The 27,617-nt window shown below is 45.1% G+C and overlaps 1 protein-coding gene across 3 annotated transcripts, besides 2 other annotated features; it reads right to left on the reverse strand.

Annotated features, from left to right (window-relative positions):
- On the reverse strand, nucleotides 215-25,910 carry QDPR (quinoid dihydropteridine reductase). 3 transcript variants are annotated; one of them, NM_000320.3, is made up of 7 exons: nucleotides 25,770-25,910; nucleotides 23,091-23,183; nucleotides 18,199-18,295; nucleotides 15,539-15,679; nucleotides 6,052-6,160; nucleotides 4,482-4,565; nucleotides 215-1,056 (listed from the first exon to the last, which is right to left on the reverse strand). In NM_000320.3, exons 1-7 carry the CDS (start codon nucleotides 25,872-25,874, stop codon nucleotides 951-953), a joined length of 735 nt encoding a protein of 244 aa, NP_000311.2. In that variant the 5' UTR covers nucleotides 25,875-25,910; the 3' UTR covers nucleotides 215-950. The 3 variants fall into 3 exon arrangements, 2 of the variants coding, with proteins under 2 accessions (NP_000311.2, NP_001293069.1); NR_156494.2 differs by lacking the exon at nucleotides 6,052-6,160; NM_001306140.2 differs by lacking the exon at nucleotides 23,091-23,183.
- Nucleotides 8,026-8,320: an enhancer, noted in NCBI's record as "tiled region #11631; HepG2 Activating DNase matched - State 17:Gen3', and K562 Activating DNase unmatched - State 5:Enh". NCBI's record gives its function as "activates a minimal TATA promoter and a strong SV40 promoter by Sharpr-MPRA in HepG2 and K562 cells {active_cell/tissue: HepG2 | K562}" and the evidence as "EXISTENCE:reporter gene assay evidence [ECO:0000049][PMID:27701403]".
- Nucleotides 25,539-26,118: a silencer, noted in NCBI's record as "silent region_15310". NCBI's record gives its function as "represses an Ori minimal core promoter by ATAC-STARR-seq in GM12878 lymphoblastoid cells {active_cell/tissue: GM12878}" and the evidence as "EXISTENCE:reporter gene assay evidence [ECO:0000049][PMID:35858748]".

Genomic DNA, 27,617 nt, shown 5'->3' on the forward strand with positions numbered 1-27,617 from the left:
ATCTGGGCTTAGCTCTGCCAGTTACTGGCAACAAGGTAATGTCTCTCTGGGCCTCAGTTTCCTCATCTGTAAAATGATCGGGTTGGATTAAACCACTACTAGTTCTCAACCAGGACAGCCTACATTGGCCATATGTGGAGAGCTGCTTCTAAATGCACAGGGCCATCCCATCACCCCCAGATTTTGACATGTCCAAGGCAGAATCAGGCCTGTGTTCTTGTGTTGAAATATTTATTTCAGGATTTAAATCCACCCCCTTCTGAGAACATCAGATTAAAAGACCTCCAGCAATCCATGATTCTAGTATACTCATCTCTGACTGCTGTATATAAGATGTGATTTGATTAAAGAAGACAGACAACAAGTGCATTTATTAGGAACAACATTCTGAATACTCACGAGTAGTTATCTTGCACACTTAACCCTAGGCCAGAGGACACGGGGCAACCACACAGGAAAAGGATACCAGGACAGAGTCCATGTAGTTTTGCTTATACCACAAAAGGAGTTAAGGCAGTTTAATTCAAGGATGCGAAAACTACGTCTATGACATAAACATGACATTCAAAAATAACTCAGCCTTTAAAATGTCCCCAATACCAACAAATCAACAAAGTAGTCAAGATGACAGCCACTGTCAAGGACAGATGAACAGTCACAAAAGCGATCCAACATGACACCGCTATAGCAGGTGCTATGCAGAGCCCTCCCTATGCAGTTAACACAGATCAACGGATGCTATTTGCAGGCCACCAGTCTCGCATGTCTTTACTTCACATAAATGTATTACACTGTCCTAGGAGAGCAAATGCATATTATGTGAGAGAAAAATAGGACTCATTATCTCGTACCACAAACAGGGGTTACAGAAAACACAAGGCTGGACAAGGCCACACTGAGACAGGTTAGTGACTTTTCTGGCAGGCCCCTCATAGGCACTGAGATGAGGCCTAAAAATATGCTGGGGTGAGTTCCGTCCTTCCTTCTGTGGTTACCACCTGGATTAGGCTTCCTGAGCTCGGTCGGTTTTTCCCTGTGATCCAGTCATGGAAAGTTCTGGAACAGAAAATAAAAGTTTTTTTTATATTCTCAAAGCAAAAATCTGGGCACATGCTGACCTTCACAGTGACGGCTTGTGGGGTGGGGGGAAGGGGTGGCACAGCAGCGACTGTTTAAAAGCCACTAAGGGCTGGGCGCCATGGCTCACACCTGTGATCCCAGCACTTTGGGAGGCCGAGGCGGGCAGATCGCTTGAGGTCAGGAGTTCGAGACCAGCCTGGCCAATATGATGAAACCCCATCTCTACTAAAAATACAAAAATTGGCCGTGGTAGCACGTGCCTGTAATCCTAGCTACTCAGGAGGCTGAGGAAGTAGAATCACTTGCACCCGGGAAGCAGAGGTAAGCCGAGGTTGCACCATTGCACTCCAGCCTGGGCATCACAATGAGACTCCGTCTCACAAAAAATAATAAATAAATAAATAAATAAAAGCCACTAAAGGTCAGGCATTATGGCTCACCCCTATGATCCCAGCACTTTGAGATGCCAAGGCGGGCGGATCGCTTGAGCCCAGGTGTTTGAGGCCAGCCTGGACACAATGGCAAGATTCCATCTCCAAAAAATAATAAAAAATTAATAAAAGCCAGTAGGCATGATGGACACATACCCAGGCCCCCAGTGAGTTCAGTGGTGTACTCATTCTAATCTCTGAGTGGCAGGATTTGGCATAAGTTTAACTTTCATTTTGGTATTTTTCTACATTGTTGGAATTCTTTTGTGATTTTAAAAGATTCTAATTTGGCCAGGCGTGGTGGCTCACACCTGTAATCTCAGCAATTTGGGAGGCTGAGGCAGGTGGATCACTTGAGCCCAGGAGTTTTTGAGACCAGCCTGGGCAACTGGGTGAAACCCTACCTCTAAAAAAATACAAAAAATAGCTGGGCATGGCACATGCCTGTAGTCCCAGCTACTCAGGAGGCTGTGGTGGGATGATTGCTTGAGCCCCGGAGATCAAGGCTAGGGTAAGCCATGATCGTGACACTGCACTCCAGCCTGGGTGACCCAGTGAGACCCTGTCTCAAAAAAAAAAAAAATTGTTTTTAAAGATTTTAATTAGTTCATTCAAAGAGAGAGACACATGCACAATACTTTGCTATATTACCTTCTCATAAATTTATGAGAGAAACAGATGCAATTCATTTATTTGGCATTTTTTTAATCAAACATTTATAGAGTACCCACAGCTGCACCAAACAATGGAAAAAGAGATAGAAAAAAACAGACTATTACAATAAAATGTTAAATACAGTAACAGGGCCTTTCACAAATCTGAGGAGAGGAGCAACTGACCCCACTTGCAGCAGTCAAAAAGACCCTCTAAGAAGACAGGAATGAAAAAGGGCAAAAGAAATTCACAAGAAACAAGAAGTAGATGATAATTCTTTAACACAAAACATTTACATTTGAGTACATCATCCATTTTGACAATTCACCAGCTGAGACTTCGGACCTTCATTAACTAAAAAGTGCTCAGCATTTCCTTCCTGGGAGACTCCCAGTGCCAATCTGTAACCTTCTGGGCCAGCGCTGATGTGTAAAGGTCCAGTCATTCAGGCCCCTACTCTGGGGTTTGAACAAGCTCATATGAGCACATGGGCTCAAAAAACAAAGCGTTGCTAAAACTCTCTAAAGTACTGTCATGTCATGGCCTCATCTCTGGGGACAGGGTAGGGCTTGGTGAGGGAAGGCTCTGAAAGAGACCAGTGCCGTTTGGTTGTGTAGGGTTTTGTGTGTTGGTTACACATGTTTTTTTGTTGTTTTGTTTTTTTATACTTTAAGATCTAGGCTACATGTGCACAGCGTGCAGGTTTGCTACACAGGTATGCATGTGCCATGTTGGTTTGCTGCGATGCATGTTTTAAATGGTTTTACTTCTTCACCCTCATCTGCAGCGTGGATAGGTGAGTGAGAACGCCATTCTAACCAGGGATGGTAGAGGAAGGATGTGCTCACAGACATCTCAAAGCAAACTTTATGCCAGCTTTTCTGAGAGTTTTCAAATACCACAAATGGGTGGATGTGATCTCTAGAACAAAAGGGGGCCTGTGACAGCCCGTCCTCTGTGGGTCTGTGGCTCAGCACGAGTTCAGACACAAGATCCCAGATGTTCCATCTAGAGTAGGTCTTAGATCAGTATCTCAAGTGTGGTGGGAGTGTCGGCCTTTAAAAAGAAATTCAAACACAAACACAATTCAAAGCTTGATTTCCTCTACAACTTCAATTTTTTTCCTGCAAATCAAGCATGAAGCATGATTCCTGGCATAGACAGAAATAACTGTCAGCACACCAGTTAAGACCATAGGTTCTGCAGCCACACCACTTGTGTCAGATCCCGGCTGTGCTGTGTGACCTTAGGCGAGTGACTTAGCCCCTGCCATCCCTCCAAGTCTCTAAGCCTTAAATAAAAATGACAGCTCCTCCCTCAGAGTTTGCTATGAGCATTAAATAAGAGTTATGAAGTGCTTAGAATGGTGACTGGGACATAAAAAGTGTTCTGTAAGTACACATTTCAAACATAAAACGCAAGTCCCAAATTTCTCCCGATTTAATTTAAATGAGATTGTGACATCAGGCCAGAAGCACACTGCTAACTTCACAAACATCTCTTATAAACAGTCGTCAAAGCAGTTTACACAGAGGCACTACTGGGTCAGGCTGTCACCTTGACCCTCTCGGCACCCCTGCTCCCTGTGGGCAGGGATCCCATCTTTGTCCTCACCGTGACCCCAGAGCCGAGGGCAGCACCTGGCCCATAGTGGGTGCTCGATGAACACATGCTTACTAACTAGAGGGGCTTGAGGAACTGATACCTAAACAAACACAAAAGAGGAATTCAGCTCTCTGTCCCATGAGCGTTCAAATGCCACCCATATTCACAAATGGGCAAAAAGGATTTCGGAAATTAAAGGGCACTTTCTGTGGGTCTGTGGCTTGACACAGATTCAGATATGTGCCCCCAGGCCATCTACGTGGTGTCCCCCTCCCCCATGGAGTCTCCTCATCACAGCAGTAAGGACACAAACTGCAGCTGGGGATCACTGAGCACTTGTTATGGCCAGACACTGTGTTGAGTGCTTGCCGCACACTATCACGTTTAATCCTAACAAGCATGATGGACCTCATGATACAGGTGGGGAAACTGAGGCCTCAGCAGGTCAATAATGTGCTCAGCATGGCCGGTGGTGAGGGAGCGAGCCAGGATTCATGTCGGCACTACCCATTCTGCCACTGTGCTGCCTGTCTCCAAGTCCAGCTACTCTGAGATTCCGTCTGATGTGCAATGCATCCTCAGAGTCCCAGAGACCTCCCAAGACCACCCGGATTGACGATCTCAGGGAACACAGACTTGTCCTCTGGACCACAGCAGGCAGAGAATAGGGGCTGGAAGCTGCTCAGTCATGGACATGTCTGTAATACTCACTCAACTAGGAATTCTAAGGGTGTCCAGGAGCTGAAGTCAGCCTCAGGCATTGATTTCCTGTTCATCGGGGTATCCAGGGTAACCCTGCAATGGACACAGATAAGCACGTCATTCATGTCGCTCCTTTCTAACAACAGGTGCCCAGTCCCCCTTGGCCAGGAAAACGCAAACATACAGCAGGACAACCTAGAGCCTCTGGCACTGAGGGTGCTATTTACATGGAAAGATCAGACAGAAAGATAAGCAGAGAGAGAGCAGGAAGCTGTCCCCGCTAGCAAAGGCCAGATCTGAGCATAATTCAATAAGGTGCGCTGTGGCTCACCACTTAGGCAGATAAGAACAAAACAGAAGGAGCCACATTTTGCCTTTTTAAAAAAGAGTCTTCACTGAATTAAACTGCTTTGTTGCTGTGTCTTTATTCACTCCCTAACATGCAGCACACTCATTTCTAAGGATTTAAGATAGTTATATGCCTTTAAATATGAGAATACTAAAATACTAAAATTTTAAATATGTGGCTATTTTCCACAAAACCTTAAGATTTTTGGCAGAATAATATAGAATTCAGATATGCATGAATCTCCCAAGAACATCAAGGCCTCAGGAATCATTCGAATCATTCAAAACAGCTGTGGGAATCATGTCACAGAATCACAGAACCTCACAACTAAAAGGGAACCAGAAAGTCAATCAGTGCAGTCCCTACAGTCTCAGCATCCCTTTATAGGACCACAGGCAAGAGGCAAGCCTGCTGGTGCTGGAAGCCTTCCAGCGAGAAGGAGTAGCCTCCCTCCAAAGCAGCTGCCTCTGCCTGGGACAGCTGATGGGGGACAGTCCCCCGATGACCAACAGAAACACCTCCAACAGTTTCCCATATTCTCTCTCTCTCACACATACATACCCCATATAATGACTTGAAAGACAGAACTACATATAAAAAAGTAAAATGTGTAGTCTAATTTTAAAGGAAGAAATGAAGGGAGAAAAGAAAGGGAGAGGAAAAAAAGAGGCAAAAAAGACAGACCCATCCAACCAGCCAATCAAACATTCTGGACAGCCCAGGAGAACCCAAAACTGGAAGTATTGCTATGGTCTGAATGTATCCCCCTCAAACTCACATACAAAACACAAACTGCAACATAATAGTATTAAGAGGTGGGGTCTGCAGGAGACAAGTGGGGGCCTTTAGGAGGGGATTAGCATGCTTATAAAGGAAGCTGGAGGGAGCCCATTTGCCCCTTCCACCGTGTGAGCACATATAGAAGGCGCCATCTATGAGGAATGAGCCCTCGCCAGGCACCAAATCTGCTGGTGCCTTCATCTTGGACTTCCCAGCCTCCAGAACTGTGAGCAATACATTTCTGCTGTTTATAAATCACCCAGTCTAAGGTATTTTGTTAGAGCAATTCAAACAGATTAAGATAATAAGTATCTTAAGAGACTTTGGTGTGTTTCAGAACCAGAGGTGAGAGCACACCCAGGTCGCCTGTGGAAAGCTACAGTCAGACAAACGGTCACCTGCAGCAGTGGGGCAGAGGTGGGCAGCAGCCAGGGAACCCCAAGCACTTACGGGAGCACAGCGATGGCGGCTGCCCCGGGCGGCATGCCGCTGTTCTTCCCAGCCAGGCTCTGGCAGAGCTGGTGAACAGCACCCTTGGCCATGCCGTACCCGATCATACCTGGGAAATGGGGAGAAGATGGCTCAGTGACCACTGGCGGCCAGGGGGACAGCAAGGACATGCAATCTTCTCTTGAGATCTCTATTCCCTAAAAACTTTATAAATAGCTGCATCTGGCCTCCTCCTTCAGGTCAGACGCCCTCACCAACCCCCATCAAAAAATGGCAGAGAGCCACGAGAAAGAGGGGATGGGAACACGTGGGTTGGGAATTATGGCCTCTGGCCAGTTTCCAAGAACACACAGGCTTCACACAGGCCACCGGTGCATCCAAGCTGCAGCATTCCAGGGTCCAGAAGAGGCCAGGAAGAAAAGATAAATGAACATTTATGGAGAGAAAAGTGGAGGAGACATGACATTTCAGGTGTACTTACTATTCATCTAACACTTAACATTTATTACAAAAGCCAGAAGGTTGATCTTATTTTTATTCTTAGGAAACCAAGACTCAAGACAGGTTGAGTACATGCCAGGCTCACACACAGACTTGTGCCAAAGCTGATGGAGAGGTTAAAGCCCAGGCAAGAAATGGGTTCTGAACCTTTTGATCACTAAATGCTTGTGAGCACCTGGCACACAGAGGTACTCAATGGGACAGCAAAATCAAGCAGTCACTTGGAGTATAGGACTTAAAGTCAAATTACACACATTCAAATCCCAGTTCCTCCACTTACCACTAAATAAATTCTGGGAAAGTTCCCAAAACCTCTCTAATCCTCAGTTGCTGCATCTGTAAAATGGGTTTGAGGTGTTTTCTAACACAGTCAATTCTCTAAGTCTCCAGACACCAACTGGGTGTCTGACAATTCAATTAGAACTCCCAGCTAGGTGTGGTGCCTCGTGCCTTTAATCCCAGCACTTTGGGAGGCTGAGGCAGGAGAATCCCTTGAGCCCAAGAGTTCCAAGACCATCCTGGGCAACGTAGTGGGACCCCATCTCTACAAAAATTAGCCATGCCTGCTGGTACATGCCTGTGGTCCCGGCTACTCGGGAGGCTGAGGTGGGAGGTTCACTTGAGCCTGGGGGAGGTCAAGGCTGCAATTAGCTATGATCACGTCACTGTACTCCCGTCTGATTTAAGGGCTCAGTCTCACAAGACCTACCCTACTTCAGATGGCAGTCACAAGTCCTGGGCCACTTAGACTTCTGACCAACAAGCTTAATCAGGGGTTTGCACAACCCCCTCTTCAGGTGCAATAATTTGCTAGAATGGCTCGAAGAACTCAGGCAAACGCTTTTTTTATAGTTACTGGTTTATTATAAAGGATACAACTCAGGAACAGCCAGGTGGAATGACACAGAGGCAGGGTAGGAGAGGGGGTGGGCATGGAACTTCCACGCCTGCTCCAGCCACGCCACCCTCCCAGTGCCCTCCATGTGTTCAACCCAGATGCTTATCACATCTGTAAGTTTTTATAGAGCTTAATCTCCAGCCCCTGCTTCCTTCCAGGAGGTCGGTAGGTGGAGCTGAAAGTTCTAACCTCCTAATTGCTTGGTCATTCTAAGAAGTAGCTCCATCCTGAGGCTGTCTAGGGGCCCCAACCTACTAATCACCTTATCAGTATAAACTCAGGTGTGATCCAGAGGGGCTCATAACGACACACAGGAATAGAGTACTTAATTGTGAGCATACCCTTAGCACAGGACAGGCACTCAATGAAGGTTTCCCATCAAATCAATAGAAGTAATGTGCCCTGGAACCCGACTACCTGGCTTCGTGTCCAGGCTCTGCTGCTTGCTAGTGACTGACACTGGGAGAGGCTACTAAACCTTGGAATCCTCAGTTTCCCATTTCGTGAAATGGGAATGACAATCCCAAATCCTAAGGATAATACAACAATCAAATAAAATACCATGTACAAGTGTAGCAGACAGGGAGGGTCTCCAAGGACTATAGGAGTTTCATCAGCTTGAACAATCAGCCTGTTTCACAGGCTCCTGCCCTTCAGCCTGGTTTTTCCCACAACTTGCATGGAATGCAGTCACCAAGTCAGGTGAAACCAGCAACTTATAGAGATGATCCCAAGTGGACTTTCCTCATTACCATGCTACAGTCTCCACCCGGGAGGAGCTACAGCTTCATCACCAGAACATGTGACTATGTGCTGGCGTGATGACTCACTGCATCTGTGCCACTGGGACCCCTCCTCCACATGCAATGACACACCCTTTCCCCTCTCCATCACCCCATGAAACCCTCCTGGGAGAGACGCTGCTTTGGAGAATACTTCCAGCATCCTCCTTAATTATGTCAAGTAATAAAACTCCATTGATTGTTTTTTTTCCAGGTTAACAAATCCCCTTTGTACAGTACTGAGCACAGAGGAACACTCAATCCTGGCCATTATTGTCATTCATGACTCTCAGCAGGTCACTGGCAACTCTTTTTCCTCGGACAGCAATAAGGAATTGCAAAAAGGGTCATCAACTTGGAATTCAAAAAGTGCAGCCCTAACTCCTGTTTTTCCAGCCACCAAAAAAAATCACAGGTTCTGTGGGCCTGCTTTTCCATCTGTCAGTGGGAGTGGTAACTCAGATCACAATTTATTCACAAGGCTCTGCTGAGGATGGAAGGAGACTGCATCCAACAAGGGCCTTGGAAACCATGGAGGGCACGCACAGAACCCGATCAGGGCGGAGGGAGCCCAGCCTGGTGTAGGAGGGGCTTTGCTCAGCACCTTGCCAGGGAGATGTTCTCCCAGTGACTGCGGCAGGGAGGGGGTGATGCTTCTCCCACTCTCCCAGCTCATCATTATTCATATTATCATAGATGATTCCTCTCCAGATCAAGCAGTCATCTGCGGCCCATCCGGGGCATTTCCTTCCTTATCAGCAGTGGAAGGACTGTGGCATGACGGGGATGGTGACAACTCTGGCCTTAACACCATCAAACCAACCTGCCATCACTCTGCTGCCTGTAAAGCCAGAGCCTGGAAAGGGGCTGCCAGGGTCTGCCTGCTCCCGGGCATCAAAACCCACTTACCCCACCCCATGTCATGGAGCCTCTTCTATGTGGGAATCCCTAGGCTCAGTGTTAGAAAGACGAAGAAGCACAAGGCAGCTCCCTGGCTCCCAGGAACGGCACAGCACACCAGAAAGAACCCAGAATCTGGACTTCGAGGCCAGGGGTTGGAACCCAGGTGATTCCTCACCACTGTGACTTGGGCGAGCAGCTCTTTCAGCCTCTGGTTCTTCCCTGCTAAATGGGATCCAATGCTAAGCTAAATAGGCTTTCCTGAAAACGACATGAAACGTGACACATCTCATAAACTCGAAAGGGCTCTTTCATTCCCAGAAGAATGTAAGTTCCACAGAGGCAGGGATTTTTATTGTTTTGTTCACCAATGTATCCCAAACCAAAAGGTGGCAATCAATAAATACTTTATTTGGCCAGGTGAGGTAGTTCAGGCTTGTAATCCTAGCACTTTGGGAGGCTGCGGCAAGTGGATCTCTTGAGCCCAGGAGTTTGAAACCAGCCTGGGCAACATGGTGAAACCCTGTCTCCACAAAAAATACAGAAATTAGCCAGGTGTGATGGCGAGCGCCTGTAGTCTCAGCTACCCGGTAGGCTGAGGTGGAAAGACGGCTGGAGCCCCCGGGAGGTCGAGGCTGCAGTGAGCCAAGATCACGCCACTGCACTCCAGCCTGGGTGACAGAGCCAGACCATATCTCCAAAAAAAAGGAAAATAAATAAATAAATAAATAAATAAATACTTTATTCACTGCTTTCAGAAAAGAGCAATAGGTGGGTTTCTCAAAGGAGGATAATGGGGCTTAATCAAATGGTGGCCACTCAAAAACTGTGGGAATGAAAAAACAAACTGGGGCCAGGTGCGGTGGCTCACGCCTGTAATCCCAGCACTTTGGGAGGCCAAGGCAGGTGGATCACCTGAGGTCAGAAGTTCAAGACCAGCCTGACCAACGTGGGGAAACTCCGTCTCTACTAAAAATACAAAGTTAGCTGGGGGTGGTGATGCATGCCTGTAATCCCAGCTGCTCCAGAGGCTGAGGCAGCAGAATTGCTTGAACCAGGAGTCAGACGTTGCGGTGAGCCAAGATTGCGCCATTGCACTCCAGCCTGGGCAATAAGGGCAAAACTGTCTCAAAAAAAAAAAAAAAAAAAAAAAAAAAAAAGAACAAACTGGTAGCTCTGTTCATTAAAACTATGGTAGGTGATTCTCAGTAACTCGTGAGTTTCTCAATATTCCAGACAAACTAACTTTTAAATTATTTAATCTATGATGAAGTGAAAAGAATAAGGCATGGAAAAGCCTCTATCGAGTCATCAAATTATGGTGCTTTTCTTTTTTTTTTTTTGAGACAAGCTTACTCTGTTGCCCAGGCTAGAGTGCAATGGTGCAATCTCAGCTCACTGCATCCTTCACCTCCAGGGCTCAAGCAATCCTCCCACCTCAGCCTCTTTTTTTGTTTGTTTGGAGACAGAGTCTCACTCTGTCACCCAGACTGGAGTGCAGTGGCGCAATCTCGGCTCACTGCAACCACCGCCTCCCAGGTTCAAGCGATTCTCCTGCCTCAGCCTCCTGAGTAGCTGGGATTACAGGTGACTGCCACAACAGCTGGTTATTTTTGTATTTTTTAGTAGAGATGGGGTTTGACCATGTTGGCCAGGCTGGTCTCGAACTCAGGTGAACCACCCGCTGTGGCCTCCCAAAGTGCTGGGATTACAGGCATGAGCCATCGCGCCCTGCCAAATTATGGTGCTTTTTAAAAAGTATGTGAATGTGACATGGGCACACACTAGAATGGGCACAGAATGCTTCCCAAAGGACACCTGAGAAGCCATCACTGTAGTTGGGCCTGGGAGGGAGTGCCATAGAGATCAGCGGTGTGAGTAGGAGAGAGTCTTCCTATTCATTGTGTTTCTTTTAGTGCCATGTGAATTTTTACTACATGCATTGGTTAGTTTTCCAATTTAAAAACTGATTAAATTATTTAAATAAAAACTAATACAGTGCCTTGTCTTTTCCCATAAGCTCTATTTGTCAAAGCAAGTCCTTTTCCAAGACCCTGTTTGAATCAGCTCCCTCAACAAAACCTTTTCAGAGGTGGACTCACCCCCACCAAGAGCACTCCGCTTAGACCGTAATGTAGCCCGGTCTCACACTCACACCACCCGCACCCTTGCTGCCGGAGGAGGCTCTGAATATAATTATATTATCTCTATATAATTATATTATCAGTAATTGCTATAATTACTGATTATAATTATATATTAATTACTGATCAATGTATTACTCAGACCAATCTGCTACTAACTAGCTAGGTTGTCTTAGACAAGGCACCTAAAATCACTGAACTTTTTTTCCTCCATAATCAAGGGAAAATAATAGGACCTACTTTACAGATACCTCTGGTGATGAAATAAGATCAAGCTTAGCCCAACAAGCCAAGCACCCAGAAGACAGATGCCTAAAAATATTTCTTTCTTTTTCGCCAAGTCTGTTGAGGTATAACTGAAACACAATAAACTTAAACACATTTAGGGTGTACCATTTGAGCAAATTTTGACATTGTGTATACCTGCTACCTATTGGTCTTCCTTTCCTCCCACTATTCGATGGATATTTGCTGACAGAAGCAAGGGATGTCTTTTATTAAGGTAGGTTTCCCTCTGCCCCGCAGGCATGTGGCAGGAATGGAGTCTTTCCTCTTTATGTTCCCCCACTGTGCCCAACTGTAGCTGCTCACTAAATGCTGCTATCACAGAATAATGATAGCAAGAAGGAATGATGAGTCACTGTAAACTTCTCCACCTTCTGAAAACCACTATTTCTTCTAGAGGTCATCAGGCTCCCTAAAATCCTCGGCACACACACTGTTTAAGATGTAATTGCTGTGGAGGCATCGCAAGTCCAGCGGGAGGTGGGGGGATGACAGCCCAGCCAAGGGACCAATCACAAAACTGCTTCAACAACTACCTCAAATTGCAAAAGAGGGTCAAGGTCTCAAAGAGCTATTTGGAAGCACAAGAAGAATATTTCGCCATCCTTAGCTTCTCTGTTTAATCAGGGGGCATAACAAACTCTTCAGTGATTAAAATAAACCAGGGCATAAGTGCTCATTAACCCAGCCCTGGTCCTCAAAATCCCAGAGCTCTCTCTTGACTCCATTCGAACAACACAACACAAGAGCAGGGACTCTGACAAAGGAAAGAAACAAGCAAATAGCAACCGTAATGGCTTAATTCTAAAGAATGACCTTTCCTTGGGGACACAAAAGGGGTTATTTGCAAGATATGAAAAAAAAGACATTTCACTAAGAAGGTCAACACTTCCAAATTACTGAATGATCAGTGTGGTCCCCCAAAACTGATTTCCAATCACAGCACAGATCCTTTAATGGTAAACAAAAGTGAACACCATTTTAATACTGTTTGTCCTACAGAAGACAGTCTAGAAATACAAACTTGGAAATAGGAGGGTGAGGTTTTCTCAGTATCCTTCCAAGTGAAAAACTTCTGATGTGCAAACAAATCTTCTTGAGTTTGAGGGACTACTAAGCCTGATTCATCATTTACTTTCAAATTGTAGATCTATTTCCCCAGATTTTTCTGAGGTCTGCAGCATACTTAAAAGATCTCATGACTCAAATTATTAATAGCTTAACAAAATCTAACTTAAGAGGTTAAAGATGAACAAATTCATTAACATCTGAGGCAGAACAGCTGGGCAGAAATAAGCCTGGAGTAAATAATAATAATGGCTCACACTTACTATTGACTCTCTGTAATACCTTTCTCATCCATTTAGATCCATTGAGACATTTACAAGGTACAACCACCATATATATAAAGGAGACACTATTTTATCTTATTTTACAGATGACAAAACGCAGACTCAGAAAGGCGAAGTAACTTGCCGAACGTGTCACAGTAAGTGGCAGAGCCTTAAGAGAAGTCCAACGTGCACAGTTCCAGAGCCTGCAGTCTTAACCACTACCCAAAATGTAATCAAAGGATACCTGCAAACCAAAGGAAAGTAGGAGACTCTTCTGTCATTTAGAAAAATCAGTCTTTTGGTCCTAGGGTTTTGTTTTTTAAAATGTCAAGCTAAGACTCATTTCTCTGTTTACTTTCTACTGCCTCTGTTCCGTGTCATCTTAAATAAAAATCAGATCTCAACCAACCAGACAGCTAACATTTACACAGCTTTAATGATTGCTATAGCCATGGACTTGTAACATCACATGCTCTAAGAAATGGAAGAAGAAAATGAGAGGGAAGGTATTGCTAGTAGTCACAGCCTCACAGTTCAGTGAGTTACATTAAAATTGAGAAGGGGCCTGGCGTAGTGGCTCATGCCAGTAGTCTCAGTGCTCCGGGAGGCCAAGGCAGGAGCATCACCTGAAGCCAGGAATTTGAGACCAGCCTGGGCATCATAGCGAGACCCTGCTTCTACAAAAAATACAAAAATTAGCCAGGCATGGCAGTGTGTGTCTGCAGTCCCAGCTACTCAGGAGGCCGAGGCAAAGGATTGCTTGAGCCCAGGAGTTCCAAGCTACAGTGAGCTAGATCATACCACTACATTCCAGCCTGGGTGAGACCCTGTCTCTAAAAAAATAAACAACTGAGAAGGGTCCCAAGGTCTCTACCACTTACAAGAGAGTCAAAAAGAGCTCCCCCCACCTTTTTTTTTTTTCTTTTGAGAGGGAGTCTTGCTCTGTTGCCCAGGCTGGAGTGCAGTGGCGCGATCTCGGCTCACTGCAAGCTCCACCTCCTGGGTTCACGCCATTCTCCTGCTTCAGCCACCATCACGCCTGGCTAATTTTTTGTATTTTTAGTAGGGACAGGGTTTCATCGTGTTAGCCAGGGTGGTCTCAATCTCCACCTCATGATCCACCCGCCTTGGCCTCCCAAAGTTCTGGGATTACAGGTGTGAGCCACTGCACCCGGCCAAAAGCTCCCATTTTTTTAAAAGAAGAGTTCAACTTAGGTAGTTGAGGTAGACACTTTCTGCCTCCCTATGCTGCCCCTTTCTACCCCTGCTTAAATTCCTTTAGCCCTATCCCACAGGGAGTGTTATGGGCTGAAATAGATCCCCCCAACATTCGTATATTGAAGTCCTAATTCCCAGTACCTCAGAATGGGACTGTATTCGAAGATCTTTAAAGAGGCAACAAAGTTAAAATGAGCCCATTGAGATGGGCCCTAGTCCAATATGCCTGGTTTCCTTAGAAGAGGAGGAAACGAGGACAGACACACAGAGGGAAGACCACATGCAGACAAAAGGAGAAGGCAGCCATCTATAAAAAAAGAGGATTCAGAAGGAGCCAGCCCTGCAGATACCTTGATCTCCAGACTTTTAGCCTCCAGAGTTATGAGAAAATAAATCTCTGTTGTTTAGGCCACCCAGTCTGTGGCTACCCAAACAAACTAATACAGGTCATAAAAAATGCAAAAGAAATGACATAATGGAAAAAATACACAGTTGGTAGATGATTAGGGTTTTGGTTCAAGTAAGTCTGCAACTTACTTCCTGCACAAACCCAGACAAGTTACTTAACTCTCCAAGTTTTAGTTTCCTAACCTGTAAACTGAAAAAGATAATATTGATGAGATTAAAGTGAGAATATATGTGAAATGAAAAGAGTGACTATAAGACCTACCATTTATTGTGAATAACAGTAAGACTTGCCATTTATGGGTGCCTACCATGTGCACTTTCTACATAGCTACACCTCTACAGTTTTACAGTACTCTTCAAGTTAGATGTCACTGTCACTATTTTACAATTAAGGAAACTACAGTAGACATCTGGTCAGAGACTGAAGAACTGGTTCAGGGTCACACATCTAGGATAAAGAATCCACCCCCAACCCTCTCACTCTCTTTTTGTTTTCTAATGTAGAGATAGGGTCTCACTATGTTGCCCAGGCTGGTCTTGAACTCCTGGGCTCAAGCAATCCTCCTGCTTCAGCCTCCCAAAAGTGCTGGGATTACACGTGTGAGCCACTGTGCTGGCCAAATGAACCTCTCTCATTTTAAACTTATGCTATTTCCAGCTGCTAAGCTGCTTCCCTGGAACACATGGATTCAATGTGATAATAATAATCCATGTTTATTAATTAATTAATATCCACTAAACCATTCATTCCAGTGTAGATCACAGATAAATAAACTAAATGGGGGTTACCAGATCATAGCGTTCCTTACCACCACCATAAACATAAGGACAGGCAAACAAAAGATCAGAACTCTTCTCCCTAAAATGATTCAGGCCCAAAAGAAGACAAAATCCATCTATCTGTTAAGCAGCTTAGAGGGTAAAGGCTTTAACAGTCCTCATCCCATGAAAGTGCCCAGCAGCCCCAGCAAGCAAGGTAAGCAACCCCACTCCACAGATAGGGAAATAAAGGCTTACCAGGAGTCCCATCCAGGGCAGCCTTTGCGCCAGCCAAGGTCAGGAGGCCTCCTTCCTTGAGATGCTTGGTAGCCAGATGGCTGGAGATGGTCGATGTCCATATGCTCTGCTTCCACATCAGGTCACAGTTCTTAAAGAGAGCTGAGTGAAAAAAACATGTGGGCTCAGCATTCCCAGGAAAGAAACCAAAAGGTGAGCTCAACTCATGCAGCCCCACACTCAGGGAGGCCCTCCCTCCTGGTCCCCAGGTCCCTATCTACAGCAAGGTCTAACACAAACAGCACAGGGCTCAGTGGTCAGAGACACAGGTTCAAATCCAGGCCATGGGATTGCCTGAGGTTCAGCTTCCTTACCTATACACTGGCAAAATGTTGGCCAATAAATTTTACAAAATAAACCTGGAGTTTACTGATTTGCTGGACTGGCTTTAATTCAAAGATTGTTTTATTTTATGAATGGTATCAGATTTGTAATAAGAACCTATATGTCTACGTCAGGTTTTCTCTGTGATAAAAATCCAAGGGCCTATTACTGTACAGCTATAAAGAGAGCTTTTACTGAGCTACATATTTTATGTCTGAAAGTTTAATGTTAGCTTTAAAGACTCTTCAAAAGAAAGCTAAAATAACAACCATTTTACACTTGTTTTAACTCCCCGGCCTTGCCAGAGACATAAGGAAGAACAAATGGTAACATATGTCACACCACCAACTGGGCAACTCGAAGGGCATGTGGTACCTGGTGATCAAAAAAGGATGTCCTCCTGATATAGGAGGGGTTGGTAGGTGATAAACAAGAAATTGCATTTCCCCACTAAAAAAGACTAGGAAAAAAACCTGATGGATCCACATTTATCATTTCTTGCTCCCAAAACATACAAAAAGGTTATCAAGCTGTTTTGCTAACCTGATCACCTCACAAAGCACCACTCTCACATTGACATGTGGGTCACAGAATGTCAACGTCTTTTTAAATGGCTTTGGCTAATAAATGTAGAAGGGATGACAGAATTAGAAAACTACCATTTTCCAACCCCTGAATAAGTGCTTCAGGCAGAGATTATCAACGAAGGACTAAAACCACTGGGTGAAAAGTATAATACTTGGGAAACAGGACATTCACACACAATACCACAATACCACACATCCCACAGATGACTGACTTACTGCAAACAGAAAAAAAGTACCTTTATAATGGAAGTCTGGCAGTTGCCATCTCAACCAAGCATCAAATTTGGCATCCCTAAGGGTAGGGCAAGCTGCCATGCTGAGCTTCCCAGGTGATGTCATATAAGGTACACACCATCACTCAGGAAGAATTCGCACCACAAGAATGTTTATGCTAAATCTAACTGAGTCTCTAGACCCAAATTCCAGTTCACGGGGAATACCAAGGATAGAGGAACAAGTCAAACAACCCCTTAAAGAAAAGTTCAGACAAGTTCAGAATGTGAGACATGCTATATGAAAACTCCCAAGGACTTGACAAAAAGTCTTATCACAGGGGATTTTTTTAAAAATTCTAGATTTTCTAGATTAAGAGACTAAAAACAACATAATGCAGTACATAAACCTTGAGTGGAATATGTTTAGGGAAAAAGAACTATAATAGACATGGAATAAACTGGGGAAATTTGAATATGGGCTCAATATCATTAATCTTAGATAATCACTGTTAACTTTCTTAGGTACAATGGTACCATAATAATGTAGGACGGGCTTATTCTTTGGAGAAACACGCGGAAATATAGTGAGGTGTAAACTTATTTTCAAACAGTTAACAAAAAACAATGCACAAAGTACACAGGCACAAGAAAACAAGCTCAACTCAAGTACAGCAAATGTTAACAGTTACTGAATCTAGATGGAGCATATAAGGGTGTTCATTGAACTGTTCTTTCAACTTTTCTGGTATGCTTAGAAATGTTCATAATGAAAAGTTGAAAAATGGGCCAGGCGCACTGGCTCACGCCCGTAACCCCAGCACTTTGGGAGGCTGAAGGGGGTGGATCACCTGAGGTCAGGAGTTCAAGACCAGCCTGGGCAACATGGTGAAACCCCGTCTCTACTAAAAATACAAAAAATTAGCTGGGCTTGGTGGTGGGCACCTGTAATATCAGCTACTCGGGAGGCTGAGGCAGGAGAATCGCTTGAACCTGGGAGGCAGAGGTTGCAGTGAGCCGAGATTACACCATTGCACTCCAGCCTGGTGACAGAGCAAGACTCTGTCTTAAGAAAAAGGGTAGGGGAGTAGAGGGGAGGGGAGGGAAGGGAAGGGAAAAGAAAAGATGAAAAAAGGAATCAGCTTTAGTAAAATCTCAAGTTTGACTTCTTCTGACTTTCTAAATGATCTCTGCACTTCCTACACATCCTCCAATGCCTGAATAGCACATGGCCTGGGGCACAGGCCATGCTGATTTCATTCTGCCTCTACTTTAAACTCAAACTCAATGCCCCCCGTCCCCTCACGTCCTCCAGGGGAAGCTTCTTCTTTATCCGTAAAATGGATTAAGAGCATTAATCACTCTCTCCCCGAGCAACTGTAAAGATTCCGGGATATACACAAAAAAACAGCTGGCCTGTCACCTAGTGCAAACCCAATCCTTGTCAGCTGGAAAAAGAGCAGAGCAGAACAAATGAGTGACTCAGGAAAGGACTCACACTTGGATTTGGCATTGCCCCCGGCCCATCCTCCAGCAACGCAAAGAATTGCATCCACCTTCTCTTCACCCAAGAGCTTTCCAACCTCAGCAGTCACCTTCAACACAAGAACAAAAAAATGTATAAACTGTAAGGTAAGCCAACACAGGCTAGCATCTTTACGGATACTCAGTTTCTTTTTCTCTTCTTTTTAAGCCAGTTTACAGTACCTGGCAATTAATGCTTTGAGAATTAGACGGAAGACTAAGCTCTGATGAGCATTTTAGACATTGAAGCCCAAGTACACTTCAGTGTGATTTTTAAAAAACAATCTAGAGTCTCTGTGTATACATTCTGAAAGGTAGAGACATGAGCATCCCTTGAAATACAACAATTAATAAATAAAAGTAGGGAAAGGTTAAAAAAAAAAGAAAAAAGCACCTAGAGCTTCACTGCCTGCACATAGTTAACATCCTGGTGTATTTCTTTCCAGACTCTCTTCACAAATCACAGAATTATAATCCAAAAAGAAGATCAACCCTGTTTTCCCCACCCCAATCCAAAAATCCCTTTAACTGCAACTCTGAAAAAAATGCCAACGAAAAATTGTAAGAAAAATCATGAGCCAAGAAAAAATACAGTCAATAGCAATATGTTGGTAATATTAAGTACATGGGGGTTCACTTTAATGATCTCTCTGCTTCTGTTTGTTTGAGATTTTAAAGCATTGAAAATATATGTATGCCCTCTTGTTATAATTTATGAAAAGAACAGTCTGTCAGGACAGGCAATTCTGGCCATCCACCACGACTCTTCCGTATTTCTCTGGAATGGCTGAGATGACAAATCCCAATTGCTTCATTAAGATCAATCTTCTTAAGATTTCTTTTTTTTTTTTTTTTTTTTTTGAGATGGAGTTTCGCTTGTCTCCCAGGCTGGAGTGCGATGGCGCCATCTCGGCTCACTGCAACCTCCACCTCCCCGGTTCAAGCGAATCTCCTGCCTCAGCTTCCTGAGTAGCCGGGATTACAGGCGCCTGCCACCACACCTAGCTAATTTTTGTATTTTTAGTAGAGATGGGGTTTCGCCATGTTGGCCAGGCTTGTCTCGAACTCCTGACCTCAGGTGATTCGCCTGCCTCGGCCTCTCAGAGTGCTGGGACAACAGGACTGAGCTACCACGCCTGGCCCAATCTTCTTAAGATTTAAATCAGGCTGGGCACAGTGGCTCATGCCAGTAGTCCCAGCACTTTGGGAGGCAGAGGCAGAAGGATCACTTGAGCCCAGGAGTTCAAGACCAGCCCGGGCAACATAACAAGACCTCATCTCTACATTTAGTTTTTTTTAAAAAAGACTTAAATCAACACCCTGTGTCTCTCCCAGTAGGAACATTTCAGTTGATTACCTCTTTCCCCAGTTTCATGACAAAACTGAATGTTATGCTGTTTGTTCAGAAATTCTTAAGGTTGGGGGTATGGTGGAGAAGGTACTCCTCTTCCTTTGGTGGAGTAGTAGAAGAAGGAAGAGATTTTCAAAGAAAAGTTTATAAGCACAAACGCATCTCTCAATCTCTGTCTTAGAGATGCACTCTACTGCCAAGCCTTGGGTGGGGACAACCTCCACATTCAATCTACAGGGACATTAGAAACCTATAATTAATCAGAGCAGAAGAGACACTGAAGAGACACCAATTACAGAGACCCGCACCTGGCAGGGCTGCTGCTCTCCAAGCCCAGGAACCGCCCTTCCATTTAGTTTTGGCTTTTATTACTTTATTTTTTGTTTGTTTTTTAGAGAAGGTTGGGCTCTGTTGCCCAGATTGGAGTGCAGTGGCATGATCTCGGCTCATTGCAACCTCTGCCTTCCAGCCTCAAGCCACCCTCCCACCTCAGCCTCCCGAGTAGCTGGGACTACAGTTGTGTGCCACCACATTCAGCTAATTTTTGTATTTTTTTGTAGAGATGGGGTTTCGCCATGTTGCACAGGCTGGTCTTAAACTCCTGGGCTCAAGTGATCCTCCTGCCTCAGCCTCCTGAAGTGCTGGGACTACTGGCATGAGCCACTGCACCCAGCCATTTTGGCCTTTATTACTTTATTCACATGAAACTATTTTGCTTTAAGGCAGCTTAGCATAGCAGTTAAGAGAACAGCCGTCAGACCCCCACTGCCCATGTCCAAATAGTGGCTATGCAACCTTTTATCTGTTTGACCTTGGACAAATACCAGGGCCTTTCTGTGCCTCAGTTACCCCCATTTAAAAGGAGGATAAAATTAGAAGCTTTGTTTGGGGATGTAATGAAGACTACACGTGTTAATGAAAATAAAGCACTGAGAATGGTGCCTGGCAACTAACAATGATGCCATGTCAACTTTCACTATTAAATTCACTAAGGTCAATCTGTATGACTTAGGTATGGGAACATTGAGACCACAGTGAGAAAAATAAGAACAACAAAAATGAAGTGCTAAAATAAGTCATCTGGCTTTTACATTCCAATCTATGTCAAACTGACACTTTAGAAAGAGCAAATGAGTAGCAGAGTTGTGCTCACAGTTTTATGTTCAAAATGTATAGATTTATACATGTATATTTTGGAGAGACAGACTGGAAGGAAATATAAATAAATGATTAACTATATGGTAGAACTATAAATGATTTCCCTTTTCTTTTTGCTTATTTGTATTTTCTATATCATACATGCATCACTTCTAAAATTTTAAAAATTTGTTATAAAAACCAGATAAGGATCATAAAACATCAGTATTGAGATTACCAAGGAAAGTGCAACTAAATGAAAAGCAGACCCACGTACAGACCAAGTGGCACCTGAACTTATTAAAGTTCGTATCTGGAGACCTATGATCCTGACTCCACCACTGAGTAGCTTGTTGGCCTTGTCACTTAGTCGCGCAAACTTGTCTTCACAGCTGTAAAATGGCCTGCCTGCCTGCCACACTGAGTGGTTGGGAAAATAAGGCGCTTCACATAGTGATGTGAAGTTATCCTTGGGAATGTGGGCTACAGCACTAAAAACCATTAAACACAGAGTCAGCTGCGCACAGTGGCTACTCAGGAAGTCCCAGCTATTCGGGAGAATGAAGCAGAAGGATCCTTTGAGCCCAGGAGTTCCAGTCCAGCCTGGGCAACACAGTGAGAACCTGACTCAAAAGTCATCCAGGCAGCTCACCAGAAGGGCTTCTCAAGAAAGTTAAGCACTGCTTAAGAGCATCAAAGATTTTTCTTTCTTTTTTTTTTTTTTGTTTTGAGACAGAGTCTCACTCTGTCACCCAGGATGGAGTGCAGTGGCACAATCTTGGCTCACTGCAACCTCTGCCTCCCAGGTTCAAGTGATTCTCCTGCCTCAGCCTCCCGAGTAGCTGGGACTACAGGCGTGCACCACCACGCTCAGCTAATTTTTGTATTTTTAGTAGAGACGGGGTTTCACCATGTTGGCCAGGATGGTCTTGATCTCCTGACCTCGTGATCCGCCCATCTCAGCCTTCCAAAGTGCTGGGATTACAGGTGTCAGCCACTGCACCCAGCCTAGAGCATCTAAGATATTTATACCAGGATATCCATCAAACTGTTAATAGTGCATCCTTCTGGGAAATGATACTATGATGGGGAGAAAAGGGACAGTTTCACAGTTTATTTCTATATTTACGTAGTTTTGTTGGACTTTTGTTTTATAATATGCATATCATTTTATAATTAAAAATAACCTGTTTTGTTAGTGTTCCTGCTGTGAACTGGGTAACTCCACTTTTTAGAATGTATCCTAAATAATCAGATATGTGGGCCAGGTGCAGTGGCTCATTCCTATAATCCCATTACTTTGGGAGGCCAAGGTGGGTGGATAACTTGAGGTCAGAAGTTCGAGACCAGCCTGGCCAACATGGCAAAAACCTGTCTCTACTAAAAATACAAAAAAGTTAGCTGGGCATTGGGGTGCATGCCTGTAATCCCAGCTACTCAGGAGACTGAGGCACAAGAATTGTTTGAATCCGGGAGGCAGAGGTGGCAGTGAGCTGAGATTGTGCCACTGCACTCCAGTGTCAACAGTAGAGCAAGACTCTCTTAAAACAAAAAACAATAATAATCAGATATGTAGACAAAGACGTTCATCACAACATTCTTGACAATAGTAAAACAAAAATCCTGCAAAAAACTCAAATGTACAATAAACAAACTAAATAAATTGTGGCCATTCCATAAAATGGAATATCACACATCTACAAAGAGGTTTTTTCAGTAATCTGGAGAATTATTTAAGTATAAAAAAAAAAAAAAACAAAGCTTACCATAAACTATAAAATACAAAATTACCTAAACTTGTAAAAGGAGTAACATACAATATGCATAGAAAAAGACAATAGGCCAAAATGTTAACAGTGAACTAACTCAAAATGATTATATAATTTATCTTTGTATCATTTTTCACTTTTTCCAAATTTTCCTCAATGAACACAAATGGCTTTCCTAGTTAGAGAAACAACAGCTTTAAAAAAAAGGAAGAACAGGCCAGGCGCGGTGGCTCATGCCTGTAATCCGAGCACTTTGGGAGGCTAAGGCGGGCGGATCACAAGGTCAGGAGTTCAAGATCAGCCTGGCCAACATGGTGAAACCCCGTCTCTACTGAAAATACAAAAAATTAGCTGGGGGTGGTGGCAGGCACCTGTAATCCCAGCTACTCAGGAGGCTGAGGCAGGAGAATTGCTTCAACCCAGGAGGCAAAGGTTGCAGTGAACGGAGATCATGCCACTGCACTCCAGCCTGGGCGACAGAGCAAGACTCCGTCTCGGGGAAAAAAAGAAATAAAAGGAAGAACATACAGCCAAAGGAAGAACATACAGCCAGTGGTCACCTCTCCCCAGGGTTCCCCTCACAATGTTTGGGGGCCTTTTTGAAACTACCTGGTCAGCCTGCTCAGTGAACGAGTCTGTCATTTTAACAATGATGCTAGCGCTGGCCTCTTCATTCTCCACCACATCAACGCTGGCAACCCACTGGAAGGAGAAAACAGCTTTGGTTAAGAGGCAGTGAGTTGTTATTCCATGAAAGAGTCACACATAGAAATGAGGGGAGTTGGCCAGGTGTAGTGGTTCACGTCTGTAATGCCAGCACTTTGGGAGCCAATGTGGGAGGATCTCTTGAGGCCAAGAGTTTGAGACCAGCCTGGGCAACATAGCAAGACCCAGTCCCTACAAAAAAATTTTAAAATTAGTCAGGTGTGGTGGCACATGCCTGTAGCCCCAGCTACCCGGGAGGTTGAGGCGAGAGGATCACTTGAGCTCAGTGAGCTATGATCGCACCACTGTACTCCGGGCTAGGCAACAGAAGGAGGCCTTATCTCCATTTAAATAAAAGAAAAAGAAAAAGAAAGAAAAATAAAGGAGCAGAGTGGAGACAGGTAAGAGGCTTCAATGAAAACACACCCTATATTGGGCTCCATCCCAGGCCCTCCTACCTCCAAACACTCTACTCCGCCTCCACATTCACCTCTAAAACACAAACCCTGCACTTCTAGAGACATCAAGGGCCAGCAAATTTTCTGTAAAGGGCCAGATCACAATTACCTTAGGCTTTGCTGGCCATATGGTATCTGTTGTTACTCAAATCTGCAATTGTAACAGAACACAGCAATAAATAGGGGGAAAAAATAAGTGCAGCTGTGTTCCAATAAATCTTCAGAGCTGAAATGTGAATTTCATTAATTTTCATATACAACAAAATATAATTCTTCATTTGATTTTCTTTTCAACCACCTGAAAATGTAAAACTATTCTTAACTCTTGGGCTGTACAAAAACAGGTGGCAGACCAGATTCAGCTCACAAAGGATCCCTGTCCTGCAGCAGAGAGGGATGGACTTTAGGATTGGAAATCAGACAGATCAGGTTTGAATCCCAGCTCTGCCAGAGTGGCTTTCTCACTCCGATGCCGGGCAGAGGTTCCCAACAAAAGAGGTTGTTTGTTGATGATTAACAGGGTCAGTGTAAGAATTAAATGAAATGGAAGATGCTAAAGCTCCTGGCACAGGGGATGTTCAGTCCTTACTCAGGGTCTCTTGGTCTGAAGTCCCCAGAGATAATTATCTCTACCTTAAGCTGTAAACACAGCATCTATTCATCAACATTTGTTATATTATTAATTAACTTGTTATCCCATGGGGGATACTGAAACAATGAAAAGTCTCCATCATCCTAGCCCTCCCTAAGATGGCAGGAAGAAGCTCGGAGGGGAAAGACCAAGAGCCAGAGGTAAATCAGCTCTCCAGATTCTGCCAAGACCAAGGTAAACCAAAGTGCCACCACCAGGAGAAAGCACAGCCTTCACCCTCTAACACATGACGCTAACAGGATCTACTGCCTTAAAGATATTGGGGGCATTAAGAGTCTATGGGAACTCTGGTACTGGGAACACAGTGCCTGGCCCTTGGCAGAAGTGCTGCCTCTGTCACCACCATGCATCTCTGAAGACCTGGGAAAGCGCCCTCATCAGTGTCCCCAAGCACTGAGCAGATGGGTGGCAGGAAGGGAGTGGTGTGACTGAATTCTTCAGAAGCATATTCCTGTACCAGATTCTGAGCAACAAGAAAACCTTGGTAAATGTACACTATTTGGGTGATGGTTACACTAAAAGCCCAGACTTCACCACTACACAACATATCCATGTAACTAAACTGTACTTTTGCCCCCTTCATCTATAAAAATTAGATAGTTTTTTTTTAAAGAAAATCCTGAAAGCCTTTTTCTGGTCCCAGGGGAACTCTTGCCCAGGCTGCTGTGCTGCTGCTGCTAACTAAGCTCCCAGAACGCTGCCGCTGGCAGTGTCTCCACCGGGAAATTGCTGAGGCCTGCTGAGCGGCTGAGGTCAAGGGTCTTTGGCCATGTATCAGCTCTGCTCCGACTTGCCGCCTCCTGGAAATTGACACCTGACTATGCAAAGTAGTTGAAATAGTCTTTGCAGAGCAAAGAAGCCGTCAGCGTTTTTCCGTGCTGAGCCTTCAAACTGTCAGATCCAATGGGGCTAAAAGAACAGGGGTGGGTAGTAATAGTAACATTAATAGACAGCATTTAAACAGTTTTTACCAGGCGTCAGGTAATTTATGTGCAACGACACCAATTATCTCATCTAATCGTCCCAACTCTCACTGTCAGAATCTCCGTTGTACAAATGGGGAAACCGAGGTCCTACGGCGTTAGGTAATCAATACGCGGTCTCATGACTAGTAACCGGGACTGGGCTGTCTCATTCTAGAGCCTTCCTTCTACACTCTCTCTCCGTCCTCTCACCCCTGCTCCCGTTCCTCCCCTTTGGAATTCTCTCCCGAGTCACGCCGGACTTTTTGGGTCTGGCGGAGGCCCACGGAGCACCTCCTTGCACAGCAAAGGCCCAGCGCCCTGGGACTGGCGTGCGCACGCACTCGGAAACAGGAATAGACGCGTAGACCTGTGCGCGCACGTGCAAGCAACACGAGTCAGGGGGTGCACAGGGGCCCCCACCTTCCTCTAGACTGCCCCCCGCCGGGTTCCACACGAAAGCCCCCGGCCACCCCCGCGGAGACCCAGCAGCCCCAGCCCGCAGCATTACCCAGTTGCGGGCCCGAAAAGCCTGCACGCATCGAGAACCCAGAGCGCCCCTGCCGCCGTACACCAGCACCCGGCGCGCCTCGCCTGCAGCCGCCGCCGCCGCCATCCTGCTCCTGCCAGCCCGGCTCCCGCAGCTCCGAATGCCTCGAGCCGGAGCGCCGCGCCCCGCCCCGGCCGGCCAACCCCGCCAAGAGGGAACGCGCGGCGGCCGCGCCCCGCTCCGCGCCCGCTGCTGCCGCCTAGCGCGCTGCCACGCTCGGGGCGCCCCGCCACCCGGAGGGACTGTAACTTCGGCCAGGCCCTGCCCCTGGGACGGGGACATCGGCGAAGCCCCTCCTCCCACCCGCCAGCAAGTGCTGGGCCTCGGGGCGTGCAGCGAGCCGGGCTAAGGGCGAGGAGGGTGGAGAGCGGGTGTTTTACGAGCATTAATTTGTGAAGTGTAAGCATGTAAAATATAGTATAGTACAATTTTCGACCACTGTTTTGGCAATTTTTTATTTTTAATTGTGCATCAAAATAGAGATTTAAGTATTCCCACCTGCCAAAAAAACAGAAGAGGTCGCTCCGCTCAAGGAGCTGAAAGTCCACCGCCGAGACGAGACAAACCACACTAGGTCTTATTTCTTCTATCTAACCGTAAATTTATACCCATTAATCCAAATGGCCCTTTTACTATATGCCACCCATCGCCAGACACAGATCCTGGCATTTTCTCCCTTGTATATTAGTTATTTCTGCCCATGGCCTGTATCTTTAACACAGAGCCTCTCATCTACAGCACTACTGACATTTTGGGCCAGATAATTATTTGTGACAGGTGCTGCCCTGGGTACTGTAGGATATTTACAGCATCCCTGGCCTGCATATACTAGAAATCAATAGCAAACCCCTACCCCTCACTCATAAGAATCAAAAATATCTCCAGATTTAACAGTTGTCTCCTAGGGGCAAATTCATCACTGATAGAGAACCAGAGCTCTAACACTCTCATAACCTTCTTGATAGCAGAACCCTGTATTACATACATCTTTGTGTCACTTCCCATCCACATATAACCTTGTACACAGCAGACACAGATGTTTGTTCAGTAAACTTGTGCCAGGTAAAGCATGCAGAAATATGTCACTAGAGAAGAGGATGCAGCCAGCAGCACATTTTGTTGTCAGAAGCTTCATTATCAGAAATAGAACTGCTAGGAGGCTGGATGGAGAGGAGAGCACCATCTATTTAGTGCTCCTTATATCCAAGGCACTGCGCTAAGTGATCTGCCTGTGCTATTTCACTTTACTCCACACGATAATCCTATGCAGATTAGAAAGCTGAGGCATGAGAGTCACAGACACTTGTCTGGAAGAGTGGGAATTTGAACACAGGTCTTCAATAGCTAGAGTTCCACTTAACCACACCTTTGTTCAGCAAGACAAAGGCTTGTTGGGAATCAAGTGTTTCCCTTAGAGTTTTTCTGAAAACAATTGCTTAACCCTCAAAACACCAAAAGTTGACACAGGTCCCTCACTGACGGCAGAAATATGACTCAATGATATTTACGCAAGTCCTGACTTGTCAAAGCATGCTTAATGTTAAAATAAGAACGTGAACTAACATTATTGATCACTTAATGTGCCAAGCAGTCTTCTGAGCCTTTTATATGTATTCTGTTATTTTTTACCAGAAAAACATTTGCTGTTTCAAAGTCACTGGGATGAAGATGAGCTGTTGTAATTCAAAGACCTGAATTTCAGCCCCAGCACTGACATCCAGTTTTTCATGAGAGAAATGGCTGAAATCGTGCATCTCCTGTTTACCTTAAAGGGTTGCTGGAGCATCAGAGGTGAGCAAGCATATGGTC

This window comes from Homo sapiens, chromosome 4 (genome assembly GCF_000001405.40).
Source record: "Homo sapiens chromosome 4, GRCh38.p14 Primary Assembly".
Classification (NCBI taxonomy): Eukaryota; Metazoa; Chordata; class Mammalia; order Primates; family Hominidae; genus Homo; species Homo sapiens.